This window comes from Homo sapiens, chromosome Y, assembly GCF_000001405.40.
Source record: "Homo sapiens chromosome Y, GRCh38.p14 Primary Assembly".
Taxonomy (NCBI): Eukaryota; Metazoa; Chordata; class Mammalia; order Primates; family Hominidae; genus Homo; species Homo sapiens.
Window position 1 is genome coordinate 11,954,950 of NC_000024.10, and position 25,968 is coordinate 11,980,917.

The window sequence follows — 25,968 nt, forward strand, 5'->3', positions numbered from 1 at the left end:
GAGAGAAGGGGTTTGATGTCCGAGTCCCGAGCGGCGACGACTCGCGGGGCCACCCCATCCGCCTTCCAGGAAAGCGCGTAGTTCACCCCGCAGCCAGCTCGACGCAACCCAACGTACTCTGGAAGCCGGCCAGGGGCGCAGGGCCTCCAGCGCGGCCACTCTAGGTTGTCCGCCCAGGGCCAAGAAGAAAGCAGACTGCCTCACCACCCCTGCTTCCCTGCAGGGTTCGCAGACCGTATCCGGCGGCCTAGCTGGCGCAGGGCCGCTTTCTCTGCGGCAGAGACTTGACCCCGCGTCCCGGGGATTAGGGTTGGCTGGGGGCGAGTTTCCTGGATCCCCCGGGAGGTTGGTGCCGGGGTGGGAGGGTGGACAGGGAGCGGGGGCTGAGGAGTCCTCTGGAACGCCTGGGCCAAGTCCGCCCGCAGGCACAGGACGCTGGGGACTGGCGCCCTCGGCTGCCCTTGGGACCAACCCAGCACCAAGGTCGGGCGCGCTGGCAGGGGCGGGGACAACCTGGGCTCTGACGAGAGAGAAAAGTCCGAGGACTTGCAGAGCTGCGGGAGTCAGTTTGTTCCAGCCCTCAGAGGCGAAGCCAGACTTGCTTTTTTGCAAAGCTACCAGTGCACCATCAGTCCTTGATGGGCAACTGAAGGGAGACGAGCCCCCGGGCTTAAGAGAATAACCTTTCCTAGGTCACTCAAAGGCAGGGAAAGCTACAGGTCTGGATGCTCCTCTCTTATAGAAAGGGTTTTAGAATTTTTATTTACTCTTATTATTACTTTTGAGACCAAGTTTCTCTCTTGTTTCCCAGGCTGGAGTGCAATGGCGCGATCTTGGCTCACTGCAACCTCCATCTCCCGGGTTCAAGCGATTCTCCTGCCTCAGCTTCCCGAGTAGCTGGGATTACAGGCATGCACCACCACGACTGGCAAATTTTGTATTTTTAGTAGAGACGGAGCTTACACTTATTGGTCAGGCTGGTATCGAACTCCCGACCTCAGGTGATCCGCCCACCTCTGCCTCCCAAAATGCTGGGATGGCCGGCTTGAGCCACCGCGCCAGGCCTGGGTCTTGGAACTTTTAGTTAGCAGTTCGTGGTCGTTCAGAACCCGGGCGAATGGGCAGGCTGTCGTTTGTTGTGCATCCCTATTTACTTTCCATGTGTGCCACTGTTTTTAAGTGAACGCCATTCAAGAGATGACAAAAATGTTAGATGACATAGACATTGCCAGGGCACGAAGAAGATCACTTCTAAATGAAGTAGCTGATGCAATCTAGGTTTTCCATTTTTTTAGTGACTCCATTTTTTTTTCTGTTTGCCTGAATGTATTTCATTAGCAATCCCTTCCTGTTTATTGAATGATCAGAGGTTCCCCCAGACTTCCTCCCCGATTAACAGCAACTCTGTATCATCCAGAAAACTCTCTAGCTTTTCCAAGACAAAAAAATAAGGATAGTAAATACACCCAGAAATAACAGGATGAATCTCCTTCTAGTGAATACCTCTTTAAGCTCTTCAAGAAGCTAGAATTAAAGGTTTGAGAAATATCATTAAAGGAAAGAATCAAAATAAATAGTTTTCTTGGGAAGTAATTTTGTATTTTTTAGTAGAGACGGGATTTCTCCGTGTTGGTTAGACTGGTCTCTACCTACAGACATCAGGTGATCCGCCCGCCTCGGCTTCCCGAAATGCTGGGATGACAGGCGTGAGCCACCGCGCCCAGCCTGGGTTTTAGAGTTTTTAATCAGCAGTTCGCCCTCCTTCAGAACCTGGGCGAATGGACAGGCGTGTGTTTGTTGTGTATATAAATATATAATGGCTTAGTTGTTGTTGGATGCAGAAACACAACATTTTATTATTTCTTTTATTATGGAAACATAAATACAAACCTCTCTTTTTCTTGTTCTCTCTCTGTCTTTCTGTTTCCCCCACTACCCCCCGCCAATTTCATACCCACAATTACAGAATGCAAGACAGATTTCCAAATCATAGTATCCAAGCCAAGAATCAAGACTATATTCTATAGTCATGATTAAAGTGAATGGTGAAAAGTTTAGAAAAAAACCATGTTTCATCTTTCTCAATTCCCATGGTTTAAGCGTCACTACAACACATCGTGTGAAGTCCTGGGAAGCTTGAAACCCTGATGCACAATTCAAATTTAAAAATTGCCCACAGTTCGTCGGTGCTACCTGTGAATAAGCGCATCTCTTCGTTGTTCTACCTCAGGTATCCGAGAATCAGGCACCCCGACAAGATGCCCAAGCGCGCGCACTGGGGGGCCCTCTCTGTGGTGCTGATCCTGCTTTGGGGTCATCCGCGAGTGGCGCTGGCCTGCCCTCATCCTTGTGCCTGCTACGTCCCCAGCGAGGTCCACTGCACGTTCCGATCCCTGGCTTCTGTGCCCGCTGGCATTGCTAAACATGTGGAAAGAATCAATTTGGGGTTTGTACCACCTTCTTCCCGAACCATCCCACTGTCAGTGCGTGCGTCTTGATCTGGTTTTGCAATGAGTGTATGTGCATTTACTTAACTTCATTTGTGCATTTCCTCTGTGTAGCTCTGTCGACAATTATGGAGCTGCAGATGGGTAGAATAGAGAGGAAAAGTTTTAGTTATGCTAAATACAGCTTTTTTGATGATTATCTGACTATATCCCTTAGCTGCCACTGCTGTAAGGTCTATTAACAAGCAGCATGAACAACTTTAGAGTCTGTTGATAAATTGCCTTGATAGCATTTCTTTAATATATTGTAGAGGTGAATGCATGAGAAACACACTTAAACATACGAAGATGATTTAAATAGACTTCAGCAACGATTTAAGAATAATAAAAATAAGCAGAACATCTGTGCCATTTTATAAGTCATGTAGATGATAGAATTGTGACTTTAAGGCAGGAAAAGAATTCCTGCAGATTTTGGCTATTAAAAATGTCAACATCTTTTTTAAAACATATTTCGATGTGGTGTGCCAGGTAGAATTTTAATATATTGGTGTCATTTTATACGCACGAAGGTTGTGTGGACCTAAGTGTTAGGTGCTATGAACTACAGGTGCTCAACTGCAATTTTAATAGTCAACAATCATTTAGAGTACTTCAACAAAATGTATTAGCTACTTTCTAGCATCTATCCCCAGAACAACTGATTAAATTAGTGTCTGAGAAATATCCACCATGGAGATCTTTTAATAAAAATAAAATGTCCAGATTTGAGCAAATGCAAAATAACTGTAAATGTACCTGGACATCTTATAGAACAAAGTTAAAAAAAAACTTTCCTCTATTGACAGTGGTAGAAAAAGAGAATGAAACACTGAGATAATAAGATGGAAATTTCTCTATCGACAGTGGTAGAGTCAGAGAATGAAACGTTGAGGGAGTAAGGAGGAAACTTCCCTATTGACAGTGGTAGAATTAGACAATGAAACGTTGAGGGAATAAGATGATAATTTCCCTAACCCATGGCAACAGACCATTAAATAGCTTTCTCAATGAAATGCTGTTAGAGTTTATGAGTTGACCACCTGAACATCCAACCACAACGATGATAGCTCATTGGGGAAAACAGCTTGGCATTGCCAGAGGAGGGAATAGTAACATGTAAGCCAGCTTCCCTTTTTACAGTCTTGTAATTTATCAGGACACATTTCTTGTATAATTAAGTAAGAAAAACGGAAGAGGTGCTAAAGCCCATTTGTTTTATTTATTTATTTATTTAACTTTAAGTTCCACGATACATGTGCAGAGTGTACAGGTTGTTACATAGGTATATGTGTGCCATGGTGGTTTTCTGCACCTATTGACCCAACCTCTAAGTTCCCTCCTCTCACCCCTCACCCGCCAGCAGGACCTGGTGTATGTTGTTCCTCTCCCTGTGCTCCTGTGTTCTCAATGTTCAACTCCCACTTACGAGTGAGAACATGCCACATTTAGTTTTCTCTTCCCCTTGTTAATTCACTGAGGATGATGGCTTCCAGCTTCATCCAGGTCCCTGAAAATAACAAGATCTCATTCCTTTTTACAGCGCCATAGTATTCCATGGTTTATATGTACCACATTCTCTTTATCCAGTCTATCATTGGTGGATATTTGGGTTGGTTCCTTGACTGCTAAAGCTCATTTGAATCCTGAGAGATAGCACATGTGATATATGAAAGTGAAGCTTTAACTGTAACTTCTTTTTCTTCCACCCTTGGTGTGCAAAATGGCTCTGTCTAGGAATTGTTTTTTATACATGAACCATTTTAACACATGGTCCCACTTGCTGGGATTAACCACCTCATCTCTCAAACCTAGCACCTTGGCAGGTCCCATGCTGGGGGTACCATCAGCCAGTCCTTGGTGGAGCCTTCTAAAAAGTGTGGGGCTGATGCAGATATATATATATATATATATATATATATATATATATATATATATATATATATATATATGGCGGTGCTTCCTGCACAGCAGGTTTGGGTGTTTGTGTTGTGTGTTGGGAAGGGGGATACCAGGCTGGAAATGAGGGTGGGGACAGTCCCTGCATACAACCTCCCCAAAGAGGTGATTTGTTTAATGGCCGGAGACTTACAGCACCAATAAGACTATTACTTCTGAAGTTGTTTGCATCTCATTTACAGTTTCTGGGATGCTTTTCTTCCTGTTCATTTTTAAACTGAAGTACTTTGTAAGTGCAAAACATAACTAACCTCTAAATTACAACACCATTTCTGATGGTTTCATTTTAAACAACTCACAATAAAGATTGACTTTAATGGGGGAATAAAACAGACATACCAACATGTTAATGTTTCTTTTTCCTATTGATACCAGTAATATCTAGAGATAGTTTTCTGTAATATTAAAAAGAAAAGAAAAATTTTAAGACCCTAGAGAATTACTTCACTGCATCAACATCTATGCCTTCCATCTGGTTTAATCTGTAATAGGAACTAATATACTATTGGAAAAACATCACTAATAATATTATAATAGCATTGTTTCAGAAAAATCAATCTCAAATTAGGTAATGAGTCCAGCATCTTGGACTTTGTTGGGGAAAAAACCTGAAGCAAGACCAATGTCTAACTGATAACACTCAGAGATTGATTTGTGTTTTAGCAGTCTGGAGAAAATATAAGACTCTCAAGGAATGAGGAATTGTTGGCCAAGTGCTAATGAAACCTATTCCCACACAGCTGTTTTTAGGATTCTTTGTCAGCATTGGTCTTTCCTGCTTGGACAGACTAAAAGCATTTCTGAAAATTGCTTTCCAAATATTTTTTTTCAGGAACCAACAATGTAGCATCCACCTAGAGATGGATTTACAGACTCTTAAATATTTTTCCCTCGATTAAAAGACTGGTTTTGATTATGACTTTCTGCAACTTTGACAATGCCCATACTCATCCGTTTTATTTTAAGTTCTGCCTTGTGATATTAACCAGAACCTATGACATAATTTTGCAAATATTGTCTGCCATAAACATTTCACAGAGTCAGTTATATATTCAGTGATTGTCAATCAATAGGTGATGAAGATAGTCTGGAATGTAAGCCAAGGGGCTAATAAGCCACAGAACTGCACTTTGTACAGGGTCATCCCAGTCTCCAGTTTCCCAGACTGTCTACTGATTTTTAGAAGGATGCAAAAAGGGGACATGTATACCCTCGGTTTCTGAAAGGGGGTACTCAAGTGATTCCCCAGGCTTTTGTCTGTTCCAGAATAACCGCCCCTCTCCCCCATTCTCACATCTGGCACCCTTGGAATCTGCATCTGCAAGCTCTCTAATGCCCATTAAAAACAATCGGGGGAAGATGACAGTCAGGCACCTTTCTGAGCTGATGTGGAGCCTGTCCCAGACTTTGTGTGCCCTCCCAAATAGGGGGAATTATTCAGATGTGAAGGGAAATCAACCAGTATTGATCCTTTGTTCCTATTTTCCCTTTTTCTCCACCTTAATAGTTGTCACCAAAATTCTTAGGTTACTTTTGACATTCAGCTATCCATGGCTTTAATATGAGTCATTCTGTCTGTTTTTCTCAATATCTGTCTATCTATCTATCTATCTACCTACCTATCTATCTGCTTGTCACCTATCTACCTACCTAACCTCTATCTCTATCATCAATCAGCCAATCTATCTCTCTACCTACACATCATCTATCAGTCAATCTTTGTTTCATCTGTCTGCCTATCACCTACCTATCACCTATCTCTAGGGGTTTGGCCCACCAAAGCCCTCTACTCTCCTTCCTGTCCTTTAATTATTTCCTTCATCTATCTATTGATCTCTCTATCCTATCTATCATCTCTATTAATCAAGCTACGTATTCTCCATCATCTATTTATCAATAATCTACCTACCTATCATCTCTATCAATCAATCAATATCATCTATCCATTCTATCTATCTATCTATCTATCTATCTATCTATCTATCTATCTATTATTTGTCTGCCTATGTATGTATGTATTATCTATCTATGATACTAGTTATCAACAATGGATGAGTTTGCCCCTGGAGAACATTTGGCAACATCTGGAGACCTTTTTGGTGACCACAACTACGGAATGAGAACATAGCACACTCTTGAAGTAAAATGTGCTGAGGAACATCCAGCTGTTTCTGACCCATTTCAGAGACTGAGCCTCAGAACCCTATCTTCTCTGTCTGAATATCTGCCTCCCGTGGGCTCTGTTCAGATTATTTACTCCCAGGGCTCTGTTCCATTGGTTGGTTGGCTAGTCTCCTCTGAATGTGCATCGTGGATCTCCATCGTAGTCTTGATCCCTATTCGCCCCTTAGATGCTTACAAAATTCTCAACCATCACATGGTAAATACAGCTTTGAATTGTTTCCCCAACACCGTCTCTCTCAGCCTTTGCCATCCAGCAAATGATAGCATCCCCCCACATGGAGAATCCTCCCCTCCAAGATTGTCCTCATTCTCACTCCCACCACTCAGCAATTTCTGCTGGCTCTTCCTCTAAGTACATTTGGAAATGTTCTGTATGCTTTCATATTTACTGCCTGGTTGTGAATCCAGCATCCCTCAATTTCTCTGCAGGATTCACCTCATTTCTGCCTCCCTCTCTTGCCCAGCTCTGACAAGTTCTCCAGGTAGTGGCCAACATTGCTGTTTTAACACATACTTCAATTCATGTCACTCCCTTCCTTAAACCCTCCAATCACTCCCTTTTGCACTTGGTGTAAATAAAACATAGTCCTTCCCATGTCTTCTCAGCTCTTAGGTAACCTGGTCACAGACAATCTCACCTACTCACCTGATACCATTATTTCCCCTGCTTGCTGTATCTAGAGAAATCCCAGCATCCAAGAAATGGAAAAGGATTTTTTTTTAAGATGCAGTCTCACTTTGTTGCCAGGCTGGAGTGCAGTGCTGCTATCTTGGCTCACTGCAACCTCCACTTCCTGGTTTCAAGCAATTCTTCTGCCTTGGCCTCCCAAGGTAACTCCTTACCTCAAGTGATCCACCCACCTTGGCCTCGCAAAGTGCTGAGATTACAGGCATGAGCCACCCACACGCAACCTGGAAAAGGATTTTGGCGCTGACATCAATTCCCTTTTGTGTGTTCACCATTCCAGACAGATTTGTTCTAAAATCCTAAATAATAATAAACACAACACATCTGCCCAAAGATTACCTAGGATTAGAGCAGGATTTCCTCACCTCAGCATAACTGACATTGGGACACTATTATCATTTTGGATAGGATCATTCTTTGTTTTATGTTGCTGTCATGTGCATTGTAAAATGTTGAGCAACTTCCCTGACCTTCACCCATTAGATGCCAGTAGCACCTGCTTCCATATTTGTGATCACCAAAAATCTCTACACATGATGACAAATGTTCCCTAGAAACAAACTTTTCCCTGGTTGAGAACTACTGCCACAGATAGACAATAGACAGACAAACAGGGAGACAGAAAGACAGACAGAGAGGCAGACAGATGATACAATGATTGATAGATAGAATGATAAAGATAGATGATAGATAGGTTGATAGATAATAGGATATTAGATGATAGATAAGATAGATGATAGACTGATACTGGATAGGATGATAGACTGATAGGTGATAGAGATAGATAAAAAGTAGGTATGTTGATAGGTAGGTGATTGGATGATAGATAGAATAGATATACATATGTAGAAAGGTGATAGGTAGATGACAGATAGATGTGATGGATGGATAGATAATAGAAGATAGATAGATAGGATACATAGATATTAGATACATAGATGCCATAGATATTAGATACATAGATGGATGGAAAAATAATAGATAGATAGATAGATAGATAGATAGATAGATAGATAGATAGATAGATGTGGTGGATGAATAGATACAAGATAGATAATGGAAACATGATAGGATAATAAGCAGATGATAAAATGATAGCTGATAGATGATAGAGATAGATGAAAGGTAGGTATATTGGTAGGTACATGATAGGATGATAGATAGATGAAATAGATATAGGTACATAGATAGATGATAGATAGATGGATAGATAGATACCCAGATACAGAGCTGGATGCAATGGATAGATAGGTAATAGATGGTAGATAGATAGTAGATAGATAGATAGATAGATACAGGTGATGGATGATAGATATATGATAGATAGAAAGATGGATGTGATGGATGGATAATAGATGATAGATAAATAGATGTAATGGATGAATAGATATATGATTGATATATAGATGATAGATAATAAATGCTTGACAGATGATAGGATGATGAGAGATAGGATTATAGATAGATTGATAGATGATAGGTAGGTAGGTAGGTAGTTAGATAGATAGATACAGACAGAGAGACAGGTAGACAAATTTGTACATGCTAAGGTAAGGTTACCAAATTTCTGCAATCTTGATGTTTAGGACTGAATCAATCTGGGTTGTAGGGGCCATCGTGTGCATTACAGGATGTTGAGCATCATCTCTATAGAGAACAAATCAATGGCCATGCTATAAAGCAGGCAAGCTTGGTGAGTCTAAGGAATAGAAAGATGGCCAATAACTCTGAACTTTATGGCAAACAGCAAAATACCAGAGAGGTAACTAATTGTCCACCATGGAATATTCTTCTAAAATGATGAGGCCATGCCCAAGTGGACCAATAATGAATCTCCAGAAATAAGATGAGGCATCTTGGAGCAGAGAGTTAAGAAACTGAATGAATAGTAAGTCAACCAATAATGGAGTGAAACACTGAAGCTGCACCCAAAACCAAGTTCCTAATCAGGATCAACAAACCAAACAGTGAGCTTTTGTATAAAGCAATGAAAATCTCTGGGTGTCTTCCTCCATTGGGAATGCCTTTCCCCAAGAGACCTGTACATGGTCACACCCCTTTGCTTCTGAAGCCCTGCTTCAAATCTCAGCTCCCCAGAGAGCTCTGCCACAGGCATTAACCCACCAAACCCCTCTACTCTCCTTCCTGTCCTTTAATTATTTCCTTATGAAATTCACGATTACCTGAAATGATCTTTTTCATTATTTTTACCCTTCTAGTCAACCTTCTTGCTAACAGAGCTGAGCCCTTGCCTATTTGGTTGACCCACCCAGAATAGTAACTTGCAGACCCACAAAGCTCAAATTATAGCTGTGACTGCATTGCAAGATGAATCCATGCACATAGAATCTGTAGCAGACATCGTTTCATATTGAGGGCATTTCAAACAGCACCTCCCTTATTTTTCCTTTCATTTCTCCATCTCTAAAAGCATTAGAGCTTGTTTTCAGAGCCAGCTACATCCTGAAGGCACATATAAAGCTGACCTGTACAATGCTTTTGCAATTTTTTAAAGTAAAATTCAAATGGCATGGAATTCACTATTGTAGACGCTACAATTCAGTGCCATTTAGTACATTCATACTATTGTGTATACATCATCTCTATCTTGTTCCAAACATTTTTAACACCCCAAAAGGAGATCTCATATCTGTTAAGCAGTCATGCTCTACTCCCTCTCCTCCTCCAGCCTTTGGGGACCACCACTTTCTTTCCTGTATCTATGAATTTGACTATTGTGAACATTTCATATATATGGAATCATACAATATACATTTAATATACATGGAGTCATACAATAGATCAGCAGTCCCCAGCCTTTTTGGCACTGGGGACCAATTTCATGGAAGACAATTTTTCCACAGACAGGGTTGGGGAGGGGGTGGTTTTGGGATGACTCAAATGCATTACATTGTTGTGCACTTTATTTCTTTTATCATTGCATTGTAATATATAATGAAATAAATCTACAACTCACCATAGTGTAGAATCAGTGGGACCCCTGAGTTTATTTTCCTTCAACTAGACAGTTCCATCTGAGGGTGACAGGAGACAGTGACAGATCATCAGGCATTAGATTCTCATAAGGAGTGCACAACCTAGATCCCTTGCGTACACAGTTCAGAATAGGGTTTGTGCTTCTGTGAGAATCTCATGCTGTCACTGATCTGACAGGAGGTGGAGCTCAGACAGTAATGCCAGAAATGGGGAGTGGCCATAAATACAGATGGGGTATGGAACTCAGGGAATGTATTTGGACTAGAGAAGCACATATGGTAGTCATCACTGGCGGGTGGGTGGTAATTGGAACCACACATGTGGGAGAGGCCATTGACTCTGAAGCCAACCAGGAAGGAAAGGGGCTTAGGACCAAGTCAAGGAGGACCCAGTCAGCAAAGATTCAGGCAGAGGAGGAGGAGGAAGCAGTGACTGAGACCAAGTTATGGCCGGAAAGGTGGAGAAAATTCCAGAGGATTTCATATCCAGGAGACCAAGAGGATAATGTGAGCTCAAAAGCAAACACTCTATGAAGTGTTTACTATAAATATAGAGAGAGTTATAAATATAGATATAGTTACCTAGATACATACATATTGATTATATATACATTGTATATTATAAATTTATAAATATAGAGTTATAAATATATAGTTACCTAGATATCTACACATTGATTATATATAAATTGTTATGAATTTATAGAGTTATAAATATATAGTTACCTAGATACATACAAATTGATTATATATACATTATATATTAAAAATTTATACTTATAAATATATAGTTACCTAGATACATACATATTGATTATATATTTAAAAATTTATAAATATATTTATAAATATAGATATAGTTCCTAGATAGACACATATTGATTATATATAAATTACATATTATAAATTTATAAATATAGTTATAAATATAGATATAGTTACCTAGATACATACATATTGATTATATACAAATCATATATTATGAATTTATATAGAGTTATATAGTTACCTAGATACATACATACTGATTATATATAAATTATATATTATAAACTTATAAATATAGATATAGTTACCTAGATACATATATATTGACTATATATAAATTATATATTATAAATTTATAGAGTTATAGATATAGTTACCTAGATACATGCATATTGATTATATATAAATTATATATTATAACTTTATAGAGAGAGTTATAAATATAGATATATTTACCTAGAAATATACATATTGGTTATATACAAATTAAATATTATAAATATAGTTATAAATATATAGTTCCTAGATAGATACATATTGATTATATATAAATTATATATTATAAATTTATAAATACATAGTTATAAATATAGTTACCTAGATACATACATATCAATTATATATTTATATATAAATATATGTTATATATTTATATATAAATATATGTTATATATTTATATATAAATATATGTTATATATTTATATATAAATATATGTTATATATTTATATATAAATATATGTTATATATTTATATATAAATATATGTTATATATTTTAAATTTAGAATTTAAATTTATCATTTAAATTTATAAATGATTTATAATATAAATATATTGATTTATATATATTTATAATATAAAGATGTTGATTATATATTACTTATAAATATATGTTTCTCTATAAATTTATATATTGTTATATCACAATTTTAAAAAGTAAATATGATGTGATACATGCCAGAGATTCTTCCTTTTACCTGAAAATGCTTTCACGGGTTTATATATTTATATCCATATATATTTATATATTATTTATATATATTTAGATATAAATATACATTGATTATATGTCTATATATCTACATATAATATATTTATTGATATATCAATATATGTTTATATATCATGATAGATATATATCTATATATTATATTATATATTATATATAAAATATAATATAAAATATAATATATATAATATAATATAAAATATAATATATAGATATATATCTATCATGATAAACATATATTGATATACCAATAGATATATATCTTATTTATTATATATTATACAGATATATATCATTATAATATATATTTAATCTATATATAGATATATAATATCTATATTTATATATTATATATAATATAGATATATATTATATAATTATATATATTCTATATATTATATAGATATATAATAGATCTCTATATTATATCTATATAGTATATATAGATATATATAGATAGAGAGATCTATTATATATCTATATATTATATAGATATATATTATGTAAATATATATCTATTAAGATAGATACATATTTGTATATATTGAGATAGATATATATATAAATATTTTTTATATATAGGTATATATATAAAGACAAAAAACAACAAAAAATAGATATGATGTGATACATGCAAAGATTCATCCTTTTACCTAGAAATGTTTCCCCAGTTTGTAGTTATTTATACAGATTCTTCTAAACTTTCACAGAAGGTACATTGTATAATGTATATGAGTGAAGCTGTTTTCTTTAACTTAGAAATGTTTTTTAAATACCTGTTAGTAAGTATTTTAAGATATTTTTAAGTAAAAATTATTATTAATGGTTAAGCAGTTATAAAGCATCCATTAGTTACCACACAGTGTACTAAAACTGTGGTTTAACATGCCTTAAAGGCAACTCATGTATAGGATTCCTTGTTTATGGGATTACAGCTGGGTGATAAAGACGCAAACATAGGTTTTATCCTCTGGCCATGTACAAGGCGTGCCATTCTTTGGCTCCTTACCCTATTGAGTGTCTATTTGCTTATTTGTTTTAGGAATTCTGAAGTGTAAAAAGGACAAAGCTTATGAAGGCGGTCAGTTGTGTGCAATGTGCTTCAGTCCAAAGAAGTTGTACAAACATGAGATTCACAAGCTGAAGGACCTGACTTGTCTGAAGCCTTCCATAGAGTCTCCTCTGAGACAGAACAGGAGCAGGAGTATTGAGGAGGAGCAAAAACAAGAAGAGAATGGTGACAGCCAGCTCATCCTGGAGAAAATCCAACTTCCCCAGTGGAGCATCTCTTTGAATATGACTGATGAGCACGGGAACCTGGTGAACTTGGTGTGTGACATCAAGAAACCAATGGATGTGTACAAAATTCACTTGAACCAAACAGATCCTCCAGATATTGACATAAATGCAATGGTTGCCTTGGACTTTGAGTATCCAATGACCCAGGAAAACTATGAAAATCTATGGAAATTGATAGCATACTACAGTGAAGTTCCCATGAAGCTACACAGAGAGCTCATGCTCAGCAAACACCCCAGAGTCAGCTACCAGTACAGGCAAGATGCCGATGAAGAAGCTCTTTACTACACAGGTGTGAGAGCCCAGATTCTTGCAGAACCAGAATGGATCATGCAGCCATCCATAGATATCCAGCTGAACCGACCTCAGAGTACGGCCAAGAAGGTGCTACTTTCCTACTACAACCAGTATTCTCAAACAATAGCCACCAAAGATACAAGGCAGGCTCGGGGCAGAAGCTGGGTAATGATTGAGCCTAGTAGAGCTGTGCAAAAAGATCAGACTGTCCTGGAAGGGGGTCGATGCCAGTTGAGCTGCAATGTGAAAGCTTCTGAGAGTCCATCTATCTTCTGGGTGCTTCCAGATGGCTCCATCCTGAAAGTGCCTGTGGATGACCCAGACAGCAAGTTCTCCATTCTCAGCAGTGGCTGGCTGAGGATCAAGTCCATGGAGCCATCTGACTCGGGCTTGTACCAGTGCATTGCTCAAGTGAGGGATGAAATGGACCGCATGGTATATAGGGTACTTGTGCAGTCTCCCTCCACTCAGCCAGCCGAGAAAGACACAGTGACAATTGGCAAGAACCCAGGGGAGCCAGTGATGTTGCCTTGCAATGCTTTAGCTATACCCGAAGCCCACCTTAGCTGGATTCTTCCAAACAGAAGGATAATTAATGATTTGGCTAACACATCACATGTATACATGCTGCCAAATGGAACTCTTTCCATCCCAAAGGTCCAAGTCAGTGACAGTGGTTACCACAGATGTGTGGCTGTCAACCAGCATGGGGCAGACCATATCACGGTGGGAATCACAGTGACCAAGAAAGGTTCTGGCTCGCCATCCAAAAGAGGCAGATGGCCAGGTCCAAAGGCTCTTTCCAGATGAGAGAAGACATCGTGGAGGATGAAGGGGTCTCAGGCACGGGAGATGAAGAGAACACTTCAAGGAGACTTCTACATCCAAAGCACCAAGAGGCGTTCCTCAAAACAAAGGATGATGCCATCAATGGAGATAAGAAAGCCAAGAAAGGGAGAAGAAAGCTGAAACTCTGGAAGCATTCAGAAAAAGAACCAGAGACCAGTGTTGCAGAAGATCTCAGAGTGTTTGAATCAAGACGAAGGATAAACGTGGCAAACAAACAGATTAATCCGGAGCACTGGGCTGATATTTTAGCCAAAGTCTTTGGGAAAAATCTCCCTACAGGCACAGAAGTATCCCCAATTATTAAAACCACAAGTTCTCCATTCTTGAGCCTAGTAGTCACACCACCTTTGCCTGCTGTTTCTCCCCCCTTGGCATCTCCAATACAGACAGCAACAAGTGCTGAAGAATCCTCAGCAGATGTACCTCTACTCAGCGAAGGAAAGCACATTTTGAGTACCATTTCCTCAGCCAGCATGGGACTAGAACACCACAACAATGGAGTTATTCTTGTTGAACCTGAAGTAACAAGCACACCTCTGGAAGAAGTTGTTGATGAGTATTCCAAGAAGACTGAGGAGATGACTTCCACTGAAGGCGACCTGAAGGGGACTGCAGCCTCTACACTTATATCTGAGCCTTATGAACAATCTCCTACTCTACACACCTTAGACACAGTCTATGAAGAGCCCACCCATGAAGAGACGGAAACAGAGGGTTGGTCTGCAGCAGATGTTGGATCCTCACCAGATCCCACATCCAGTGAGTATGAGCTTCCATTGGTTGTTGTCTCCTTGGCTGAGTCTAAGCCTGTGCAATACTTTGACCCAGATTTGGAGACTAATTCACAACCACATGAGGATAACATAAAAGAATACAGTTTTGCACACCTTACTCCAACCGCCATCATCTGGTTTAATGACTCTAGTACATCACTGTCATTTGAGGATTCTACTGTAGGGGAACAAGGTGTCCCAGGCAAATCACATCTACAAGGACCGACAGAGAACATCCAGCTTGTGAAAAGTAGTTTTAGCACTCAAGACACCTTATTGATTAAAAAAGGTATGAAAGAGATGTCTCAGACACTACAGGGAGGAAATATGCTAGAGGGAGACCCTACACACTCCAGAAGTTCTGAGAATGAGGGCCAAGAGAGCAAATCCATCACTTTACCTGACTCCACACTGGGTATAACGAGCAGTACGTCTCCAGTTAAGAAGCCTGCGGAAACCACAGTTGTCACCCTGCTACACAAAGACACCACAACAGAAACAACTCCAAGGCAAAAAGTGGCTTCATCATCCACCATGAGCACTCACCCTTCTCGAAGGAGACCCAATGGGAGAAAATTACACCCTCACAAATTCCACCACCGGCACAAGCAAACCCCACCCACAACTTTTGCTCCATTAGAGACTTTTTCTACTCAACCAACTCAAGCAACTGACATTAAGATTTCAAATCAAATGGAGAGTTCTCTGGTTCCTACATCTTGGGAGATTAACACAGTTAATACCCCCAAACAGCTGGAAATGGAGAAGAATGTAGAGCTCATATCAAAGGGAACTCCACGGAGAAAACACGGGAAGAGGCCAAACAAACATCGATATACCCCTTCTACAGTGAGTTCAAGAGCATCTGCATCCAAGCCCAGCCCTTCTCCAGAAAATAAACATAGAAACATTGTTACTCCCAGTTCAGAAACTACACTTTTGCCTAGAAATGTTTCTCTGAAAACTGAGGGCGTTTATGATTCCTTAGATTACACGACAACCACCAGAAAAATACATTCATCTCACCATAAAGTCCAAGACACACTTCCAGTCATGTATAAACCCACATCAGATGGAAAAGAAATTCAGGATGATGTTGCCACAAATGTTGACAAACATAAAAGTGACATTTTAGTCCCTGGTGAGTCAATTACAAATGTCACACAAACTTCTCGCTCCTTGGTCTCCACTATGGGAGAATTTAAGGAAGAATCCTCTCCTGTGGGCTTTCCAGGAATTCCAACCTGGAATCCCTCAAGGAAAGCTCAGCCTGGGAGGCTACAGACAGACATACATGTTACCACTTCTGGGGAAACCCCTACAGACCCTCCCCTTGTTAACGAGCTTGAGGATGTGGATTTTACTTCTGAGTTTTTGTCCTCTGTGACAGTCTCCACACCATTTCACCAGGAAGAAGCTGGTTTTTCCACAATTCTCTCAAGCATAAAAGTGGAGATGGCTTCAAGTCAGGTAGAAACTACCACCCTTGGTCAAGATCATCATGAAACCACTGTGGCTATTCTCCACTCTGAAACTAGACCACAGAATCACATCCTTACTGCTGCCTGGATGAAGGAGCCAGCATCTTTGTCCCCTCCCATGATTCTCCTGTCTTTGGGACAAACCACCACCACTAAGCCAGAACTTCTCAGTCCAAGAACATCTCAAATATGTAAAGATTCCAAGGAAAATGTTTTCTTGAATTACATGGGGAATCCAGAAACAGAAGCAACCCCAGTGAAAAATGAAGGAACACAGCGTATGTCAGGGCCAAATGAATTATCAACACCATCTTCTGACCACGATGCATTTAACTTGTCTACAAAGCTAGAATTGGAAAAGCAAGTATTTGATAGTAGGAGTCTAACACGTGGCCCAGATAGCCACCACCAGGATGGAAGAGTTCATGCTTCTCATCAACTAACCAGAATCCCTGCCAAACCCATCCTACCAACAGGAACAGTGAGGCTGCCTGAAATGTCCACACAAAGCACTTCCAGATACTTTGTAACTTTCCAGCCACCTCATCACGGGACCAACAAACCAGAAATAACTACATATCCTTCTAGGGCTTTGCCAGAGAGCAAACAGTTTACAACTCCAAGAGTAGCAAGTACAACTCCTCTCCTATCACACATGTCCAAACCCAGCATTTCTAGTAAGTTTGCTGACCTAAGAACTGACCAATCCAATGGCTCCTACAAAGTGTTTGGAAATAGCAACATCCCTGAGGCAAGAAACTCAGTTGGAAAGCCTCTCAGTCCAAGAATTTATCATTATTCCAATGGAAGACTCCCTTTCTTTACCAACAGGACTCTTTCTTTTTCACAGTTGGGAGTCACCCGGAGACCCCAGATACCCTCTTCTCCTGTCCCAGTAATGAGAGAGAGAAAAGTTAATCCAGGTTCCTACAATAGGATATATTCCCATAGCACCTTCCATCTGGACTTTGGCCTTCCAGCACCTCCACTGTTGCACACTCCATGGACCATGGTATCACCCCCAACTAACTTACAGAATATCCCTATGGTCTCATCCACCCAGAGTTCTGTCTCCTTTATAACATCTTCTGTCCAGTCCTCAGGAAGCATCCACCAAAGCGGCTCAAAGTTCTTTGCAGGAGGACCGCCTGCATCCAAATTCTGGCCTCTTGGGGAAAAGCCCCAAATCCTCACCAAGTCCCCACAGACTGTGTCTGTCACTGCTGAAACGGACGCTGTGTTCCCGTGTGAGGCAATAGGAAAACCAAAGCCTTTCGTTACTTGGACAAAAGTTTCCACATGTAAGATTTTTAAGCATCTACTCTTTTTTGGGTCAATTTTTATTTTATTGGCTAGCAATATTACAATACACTAAAAGAGCATGAGGTACAAAACATAAACACGTTAGGAGAAATATTTACAACAAATTTGGGGAATTTTTTTTTACTTGAAGAAGTGTTTATTTTTATAATTTCAGCTTTTATTTTAGATGCAGGGGGGAACACGTGCAGGTTTCTCACATGGGTATATTGTATGATGCTGAGGTTTGGGGCACAAATGATCCCATTACCCAGGTAGTGAGCATAGCATCCAATAGGTGGATTTTCAGCCCTTGCTACCCCTCCCTGTCTCCTCTAGTAGCCCCAAGTATCCATTTTTCCTATCTTTATGTCCATGTGTACCCAATCTACACTTCAACCAGAGTGTAGGAGAAAGTTACTGGAGTCTTACTTTAGGCACAACCAGAAACTCAGAAAATAAGGAATTGGTAGGATGAGAGGAGTCATCTGAAATCTTAAATCTAAGCATGTTTCTTTGCAGGGACAGGAAGTGAGGAACTAGAATGGATGTGAGATTTTAATGGAGCCATGGAAATATCTAATAAGTCCTTTGGATGGAGAATAACCCAGGTTTGAAATATTCCATAAGAGAGACTCTCACTTTTTTCAGTTGGCTCCAATACAAATGCCTTCAACCACCATCTGAGGGCAGAGTGGATATGAGACGTGGTCTGTAAATCCCCCTTGCCCTTTTACCAGCTTGCAAAGGTAAACCCAGCTTGGTCAGAGATCAGGTTATAGTCTTCTAAGTGCTAATCAGGTGCTTCTTTGACTTGAACCTAGACCCAGGGTTATGTTAATCAGCTTGGGCTGCCATGACAAAGTACCACTAACTGGGCAGTTTAAGTAGCAGATAGTTATTTTCTCACAATTGCAGATTTTGGAAGTCCAAGATCAAGGTGTTGGCAAGATTAGTTCCTTGTGAGGCCTCTCTCCTTGGTGTGTAGTTGCCGTCTTCTTCCTATGTCATACATGATCCAACTTCTGTTTGTCTGGATTCTAATGTCTTCTTATAAAGATACCAGTTCTATCAGATTAGAGACCATCCTATTGACCTCATTTAACCTTAATCACCTTGGTAAAGATCCTATCTCCAGTCATATTTTGAGTTCCTGGGGGATAGGACTTTAATATATAAATTTGGGGGGACACATTTCAGCCCATAAAAATGGTTTATACTTGGAATCCTGAGACAGACATTCAAAGAGCAGCTGGCTTCCTAAATTGACCATCTGCTTTCTCTGAATGACAGAACAGTTTCTAGGTTACAGAAGAAAATAAAACCAGAGAATCACAACCTGGACAAAAGAGCATCTTTTTCTCCTTTCTCTTTCCTTCTCTCTCAACACAAATGTATCTTCAGCCCTGGATTCTGATCAGAGGATTGTGTGTATGTGTGTCTGTGTCTATGAGTGTTTTGCCTTCATTTCGATAATACAAAATGATTTATGCTGCTAGCACTTAGCTGTACTTTCTTTGTACTGCTTTATCTCCCAAATGTTGGAAGTTTTCCAGAGGTTCACAGAGACTCTGAGCCTAGGGCAATTGTTTACTTCTTTGATAAGCTTAGCACTTGAAGTCATAGGTTTTCATAATTTCATAATGAATTTTGCTGGAAGTGGAAAATGAGGGACACCATGGGTTATTTATTCCAAAAGGGTTATGTCCTTGAAGGAACCCATTCTCCTTCTGGGAATCCCATTTATATAAATCCTTAGGTTCCTTCACACCCTATGCCATTTCAGAGCATCTTTGAACTTTGCCCCTGCACCAGACATTCATGCACATTTTTCTTCTACATTTCCTGGAATCAGCTCTCAATGCTGGCTGCTCATTTGTTAGCTAGCTCTTGTTTTTAGACAAAAGCTATTTCTCTCAATGGATGGCCAAATGAGATTTGCTCACATCCAAAAGTGTTGTAATTGCATGTTGTGGAACTACATGGCATGGATTTATCATGCCTTTGTTTTCAGATAAACTAATCTCTTTTATTGAGGCATCAGAGAAAAATGGAAGGCACTTTAAAATTGCCCCAGGAGGTGTAAGAATAATTGGCAGGAGGTTTCAGTGGTCCTTCCCTTGCATCCAAAACCAAATGAAAGACAGGCACTCTTGTACCTCTGCGTCATAAAATGCCTCAGTGGGGAGGTGGGACTCCATAAGTGAGGGTCAGCAGGTTGGTGTCCATGACCATGCCCATGGTCACCTGTCATTCGGGAGGGCTCAACCACAAAGCTAGGTGGGATCTTAGCTGCATTGCCTGAAAAGTAGGGAGATTATATCAGCACTAAGCAATACCTGCTCTCTAAGACCTGGTGGGCTGGGCAGACTCAACGGGCTGCTGATCCTGGTTTTGGAGGGGACAGCTGTGGTCTTGGCTGCTTCTGTAAACACACCAGAGTAGTGACCTTTTATCAATGTCTGTTCTGTGTTGGAATAATCCATCCACTATGAAATTATTTTCATAGTGAGAGCAAGTAATTTTGCAGGTGTGTGACCACCAGATGCTTTGTCAGAGTATGAGTTCCCCTTGAGGATGGAAATGATGACGAGCTTGCAGGATTTGAAAGCTTCATCCAAAGGATGAACTCCAATATTAGAGAAAGTTATTAGTAAAACAGTTGGAGGCACTGGTCAGAATGAAGTGAATGGCACACAGGACAAGTCCAGACCCAGGAAGGTCCAGTAACATGGGAGAAGAACGGAAGGAGTTCTAAAATTCAGGGCTCCCTTGGGCTCCCCTGTTTAAAAATGTAGGTTTTATTATTATATTTCATTGTTAACAAAAGTCCATGAGATCTGTGGAGGATAAAGGGGGAGCTGTATTTTCCATTAAAAAAAAAAAAAAAAAGAAAACAGTTTCCAGATTAGGTGGACCTAGCCTTCAGTGCAAGTAAAAAGTGCTCTCTGAAGAACAAAGGAAGTAGAGACAGTTCCTGCACTGGCTCCCAATCAAGTCCATTTACACAAATTAGGAATTCAAATATGTTTAGTTCTGACTGGTCAAAATAGTTGAGCCCCGATTGGGTGATTTCCAAGCCCCAAACTGGAAGTCTCTGGCAAGTTGTTTGTCAAGAGATACTGCTCTGAGAACAAACAGCATTTGACAGCTGTTCTCTCCTCCTGCCACGGTTGCTTGGTTCTGTTTTGTAAATTTGCGGATCTCTATCAGTCACAGGGGTTCCATGTTATGAGAGCTTGAGGTCTCATTTACAGTTTCATTGCATGCCTGTATGGTTAGGCCAAGTGATCAGCAGATGACTGCCATTAAAAAGATAGTTTGTTACTCAGTTACCAGGACAGAGTAAAACACATCATGCAGGGCCACAGAGGGAAGCACCAGGTTTGGTTAGGAAGCAGAGAGATAGGAAGAAAGTGTGGGCAAGCACCTTTTTTTGTAGTTTCTATGGGAAGAAACAGGCGCGGCTTAGAATTGAGTATTTTGAAAAATGTCAGCAGGCTCTGGAGCACATGGGGCTGTCCCTAGTTGTATGTTACCTGACCCTGGGATAGTTAAGGCTAGAGGATAGTGACCTGGAATCAGACAGCCCAATAAAGGAGGTGGTTAGGGTGTGGTCTCTGGATTGATTGGTTTGCATATGCAAGCTGCACTCACAGGTGTGTAGTTTGCTATCTCTAGTGATTATCTAGCTTTGGGAGGGGTAGTTTCCCCAGGGTCAGCAAAACCCCAGATGACAGAGCATCAGAAACACACAATTAATACAGAGCCTGATGATTGCAGTCTTAGGAGGTCAAACAGAGTGTGAAATATAGAGAGTATAGAGAGTGGAGAGAAATAAGGACCTATGTCCCATAACTCCACCCACTGGCTAGAGTGGTGAGAGGTCAGATGTCACTGAGAAGCCTGAATTCATGCTCAACTCAAGTGGGGAATGACCCCATCATGACCCCGACCCCATCAGTCTAACCAATCTACCTTATTTTCTTTTCTGTCTGTTTTCTTTTCTTTTTTTACTTCTCTCTCTCTTTCCTTTTATTATTATTATTATTATTAAATAGAGTTTCACTCTGTTGCCCAGGCAGGAGTGCAGTGACATGATCATGGTTCACTGCAGCCTCTATGTCCCAGGCTCAAGTGATCCTCCCACCTCAGCTTCCCAAGTAACTGGGACCAAAGGCACATGCCACCGCACCCAGCTATTTTTTTTTTTTTTTTTTTTTTTGTAGAAACAGAGTTTAGATATGTGGCCTAGGATGGTCTAGAACTCCTGGGCTCAAGCATCCTCCTGCCTTGGCCTGCTAAGGTGCTGGGAGTAATTTACCTTTCTTGTGGACTCAAGGGCCTCTCTGGGCAGGGGGGCTGGCCACTACAAGCCTGGGATGCCCATGCAACCAGCTAGCCCAAGGAGTTCAGGAGAATAGCATAAGCATGAATAAATAAGGGAGAGGCTGTGTCTCTAGTAATTGAGCTTGTGGAATCTTAGCTCACCTTGGAAGTGGCTAGGACTCATGCCTGCTTCCAGAATTCTCTATAAAACCCACATTTGCCCTCTTTTGCTTGAGAATGGCCTTGTTTCTGGGACTAGTATAAAAATGAAAAAGAAAAACAAAACATTATTTTTCTCTATCCTTTTTTTAAAGAGCATATTTATTTCATATGTGTGTGATGACAAAAAATCTACTCTCAACAATTTTCAAATATAAACTAAATTGTTATTAACTATAGTTGCCATGAGTATAACATCACTTAAGCATATTCCTCCTAACTGAACTTTACATTCTTTAATTAATAGCTTCCCCTTTCTCCTACCCCCAGTCCCTGGTAACCCCCATTCCACTATCTGTTTCTTCTTCTATGAGTTCAACTTTCTTCCATTGCACATATAAGTGAGATCATGCAGTATTTGTCTTTCTGTGCCTGGTTTATTTCACTTAACCTAATATCCTCCAGGTTCATTTATGTTGTGGCAAATGACAGAATTTCCTTTAAAAAAAAAAGACATAATGGTATTTCATTGTGCATATATACTGCATTTTCTTTATCCATTCATTTATTGATGGACACTTAGCTGAATTCTGAATCTTGGCTATTGTGAATAGCACTGTTATAAACACGGAAGTGCAGATGTCTCATAAACAAACTGACATCATTTCCTTTGGATAAATACCCAGTAGTGGGATTGCTAGACCATAGGCAGCTCTATTGTTAGTTTTATGAGGAACCTCCATGCTGTTTTCCACAGTGGCTGTACCAATTTACATTCTCACCAACAGTGTACGAGGGTGCCCATTTCTCCACATCTTCACCAGTGTCTGTTGTTTTTGGTCTTTTTGACAATAGCCATTCCAGCAGGCATGAGGTGATAGCTCAGTTTTACATTTCTTTAATGGTTAGGACAAAAACAATCTGGGTGTGATGGCTCACATCTCTAATCCCAGCCCTCTGGGTAGCCAAGACAGAGAATCAATTGAGGCCAGACGTTCAAGAGCAGCCCGGGCAAAAAGTAAGACCATGTCTCTACAAAAAAAAAATAATAATAAAAAAAGAAAAAAAAATGGTTTTAATTATCCAGGACTGGTGGCCTGCACATGTAGTCCCAGCTACTTAGAAGGCTGAGTCCAGGAGGTTGAGACTGCAGTGGGCTATGATTGTACCTCTGCACCCCCGCCTGGGAGACAGAGCAAAACCCTATCTCTAACAAATGAAATAAACATAAAAAAACTTTTAAAAACACTAAAACATTCTACCTTCTACACTTGCTTTTGCTGTCTGGGTGATAAAGTGGAGACTTAGATTAACTAATATTGCTCATTTGAGCATTATCAAGAAGGCACAGTTTATGCCAAAGCTTACTATGTTAATTTTCTCCAGGAGTTCTTATGACTCCGAATACCAGGATACAACGGTTTGAGGTTCTCAAGAACGGTACCTTAGTGATAAGGAAGTTTCAAGTGCAAGATCGAGGCCAGTATATGTGCACCGCCAGCAACCTGTACGGCCTGGACAGGATGGTGGTCTTTCTCTGGGTCACCGTGCAGCAACCTCAAATCCTAGCCTCCCACTACCAGGACGTCACCGTCTACCTGGGAGACACCATTACAATGGAGTGTCTGGCGAAAGGGACCCCAGCCCCCCAAATTTCCTGGATCTTCCGTGACAGGAGGGTGTGGCAAACTCTGTCCTCCGTGGAGGGCCGGATCACCCTGCACCAAAACCGGACCCTTTCCATCAAGGAGGCGTCCTTCTCAGACAGAGGCGTCTATAAGTGCGTGGCCAGCAACGCAACCCGGGCGGACAGCGTGTCCATCCGCCTACACGTGGCGGCACTGCCCCCCATTATCCACCAGGAGAAGCTGTAGAACATCTCGCTGCCCCCGGGGCTCAGCATTCACATTCACTGCACTGCCAAAGCTGCGCCCCTGCCCAGCGTGCTCTGGGTGCTCGGGGATGGTACCCAAATCCGCCCCTCGCATTTCCTCCACCGGAACTTGTTTGTTTTCCCCAACGGGACGCTCTACATCTGCAACCTCGCGCCCAAGGACAGCGGGCGCTATGAGTGCGTGGCCGCCAACCTGATCGGCTCCGCGCGCAGTACGGTGCAGCTGAACGTGCAGCGCGCAGCAGCGAACGTGCAGCGCGCAGCAGCGAACGTGCAGCGCGCTGCGCGCCAACGCGCGCATCACGGGCACCTCCTCGCAGAGGACGGACGTCAGGTACGGAGGGACCCTCAAGCTGGACTGCAGCGCCTCGGGGGATCCCTGGCCGCGCATCCTCTGGAGGCTGCCGTCCAAGAGGACGATCGACGCGCTTTTCAGGTAGGCAGCTCCGCGTGGCTTCCTGTAAATCGCTGGGCTGGTGGCCCCAACGAATATAAGTCCTTGTTCAGGATGAATATGCACACACATTGGTCCCTGCGTGCGATAAAATTAAATGAAATTAATTAGCAGGACACGGTGGCTCACGCCTATAATCCCAGCACTTTGGGGCCAAGGCGGGCGGATCAGTTGAGGTCCGGAGTTCGAGACCAGCTTGGCTAACATGGTGAAACCCTGTCTCAACAAACATACAAAAATTTGCCGGACGTGGTGGCGAGCGTCTGCAGTCCCAGCTCCTCGGGAGGCTGAGGTAAGATAATTGCTTGAACCCAGAAGGTGGCGGTTGCAGTGAGCCAAGATCACGCCACTGCACGCCAGCCTGGACGACAGACTGACACTCTATCTAAAAATAATAATAAGTTAATTAATTAAGTTGAGACAGGGTGTTGCTCTGTCACCCAGACTGCAGTGCAGTGGTGCGATCATACCTCACTGCAGCCTCAAACTCCTGGGCTGAAGCGATCCCCTGAGTAGCTGGGATTACAGGTGTGCACCATGAGGCACGACTCTTCTTCTTCTTCTTCCTCTTCTCCTTCTTCTTCTTCCTCTTCTTCTTCTTTTCTTCTTTCTTCTTCTTCTTCCTCTTCTTCTTCCTCTCCTTCTTCTCCTTCTTCTTCTTCCTTTCTTCTTCCTCTTCTTCTTCTTTTCTTTCTTTCTTTTTCTTTCTTCTTCTTTCTTCTTCTTCCTCTTCTTTCTTCTTCTTTTCTTCTTTCTTCTTCTTCTCCTTCTTCTTCTTCTTCTTCTTCTTCTTCTTCTTCTTCTTCTTCTTCTTCTTCTTCTTTCTTCTCTCTTCCTCTTCCTATTCTTCTTCTTCTTTCTTCCTCTTCCTCCTCTTCCTCTTCCTCTTCTTCTTCTTTCTTCAATTTATGTAGAGATGGGATCTGCTATGTTGCCAAGTATGATCTTGAACACTTAACCTCAAGCAGTCCTCCTGCCCTGACCTACCAAAGTGCTGAGATGACAGGCTTGAGCCACCGCGCCTGACCCTGTGTGTGATTTTTA

General features: G+C 41.0%; 1 pseudogene; it reads left to right on the forward strand.

Annotated features, from left to right (window-relative positions):
* MXRA5Y (matrix remodeling associated 5 Y-linked (pseudogene)) overlaps window positions 2,228-25,968 on the forward strand; it is a 31,407-nt pseudogene continuing 7,666 nt past the window's right edge.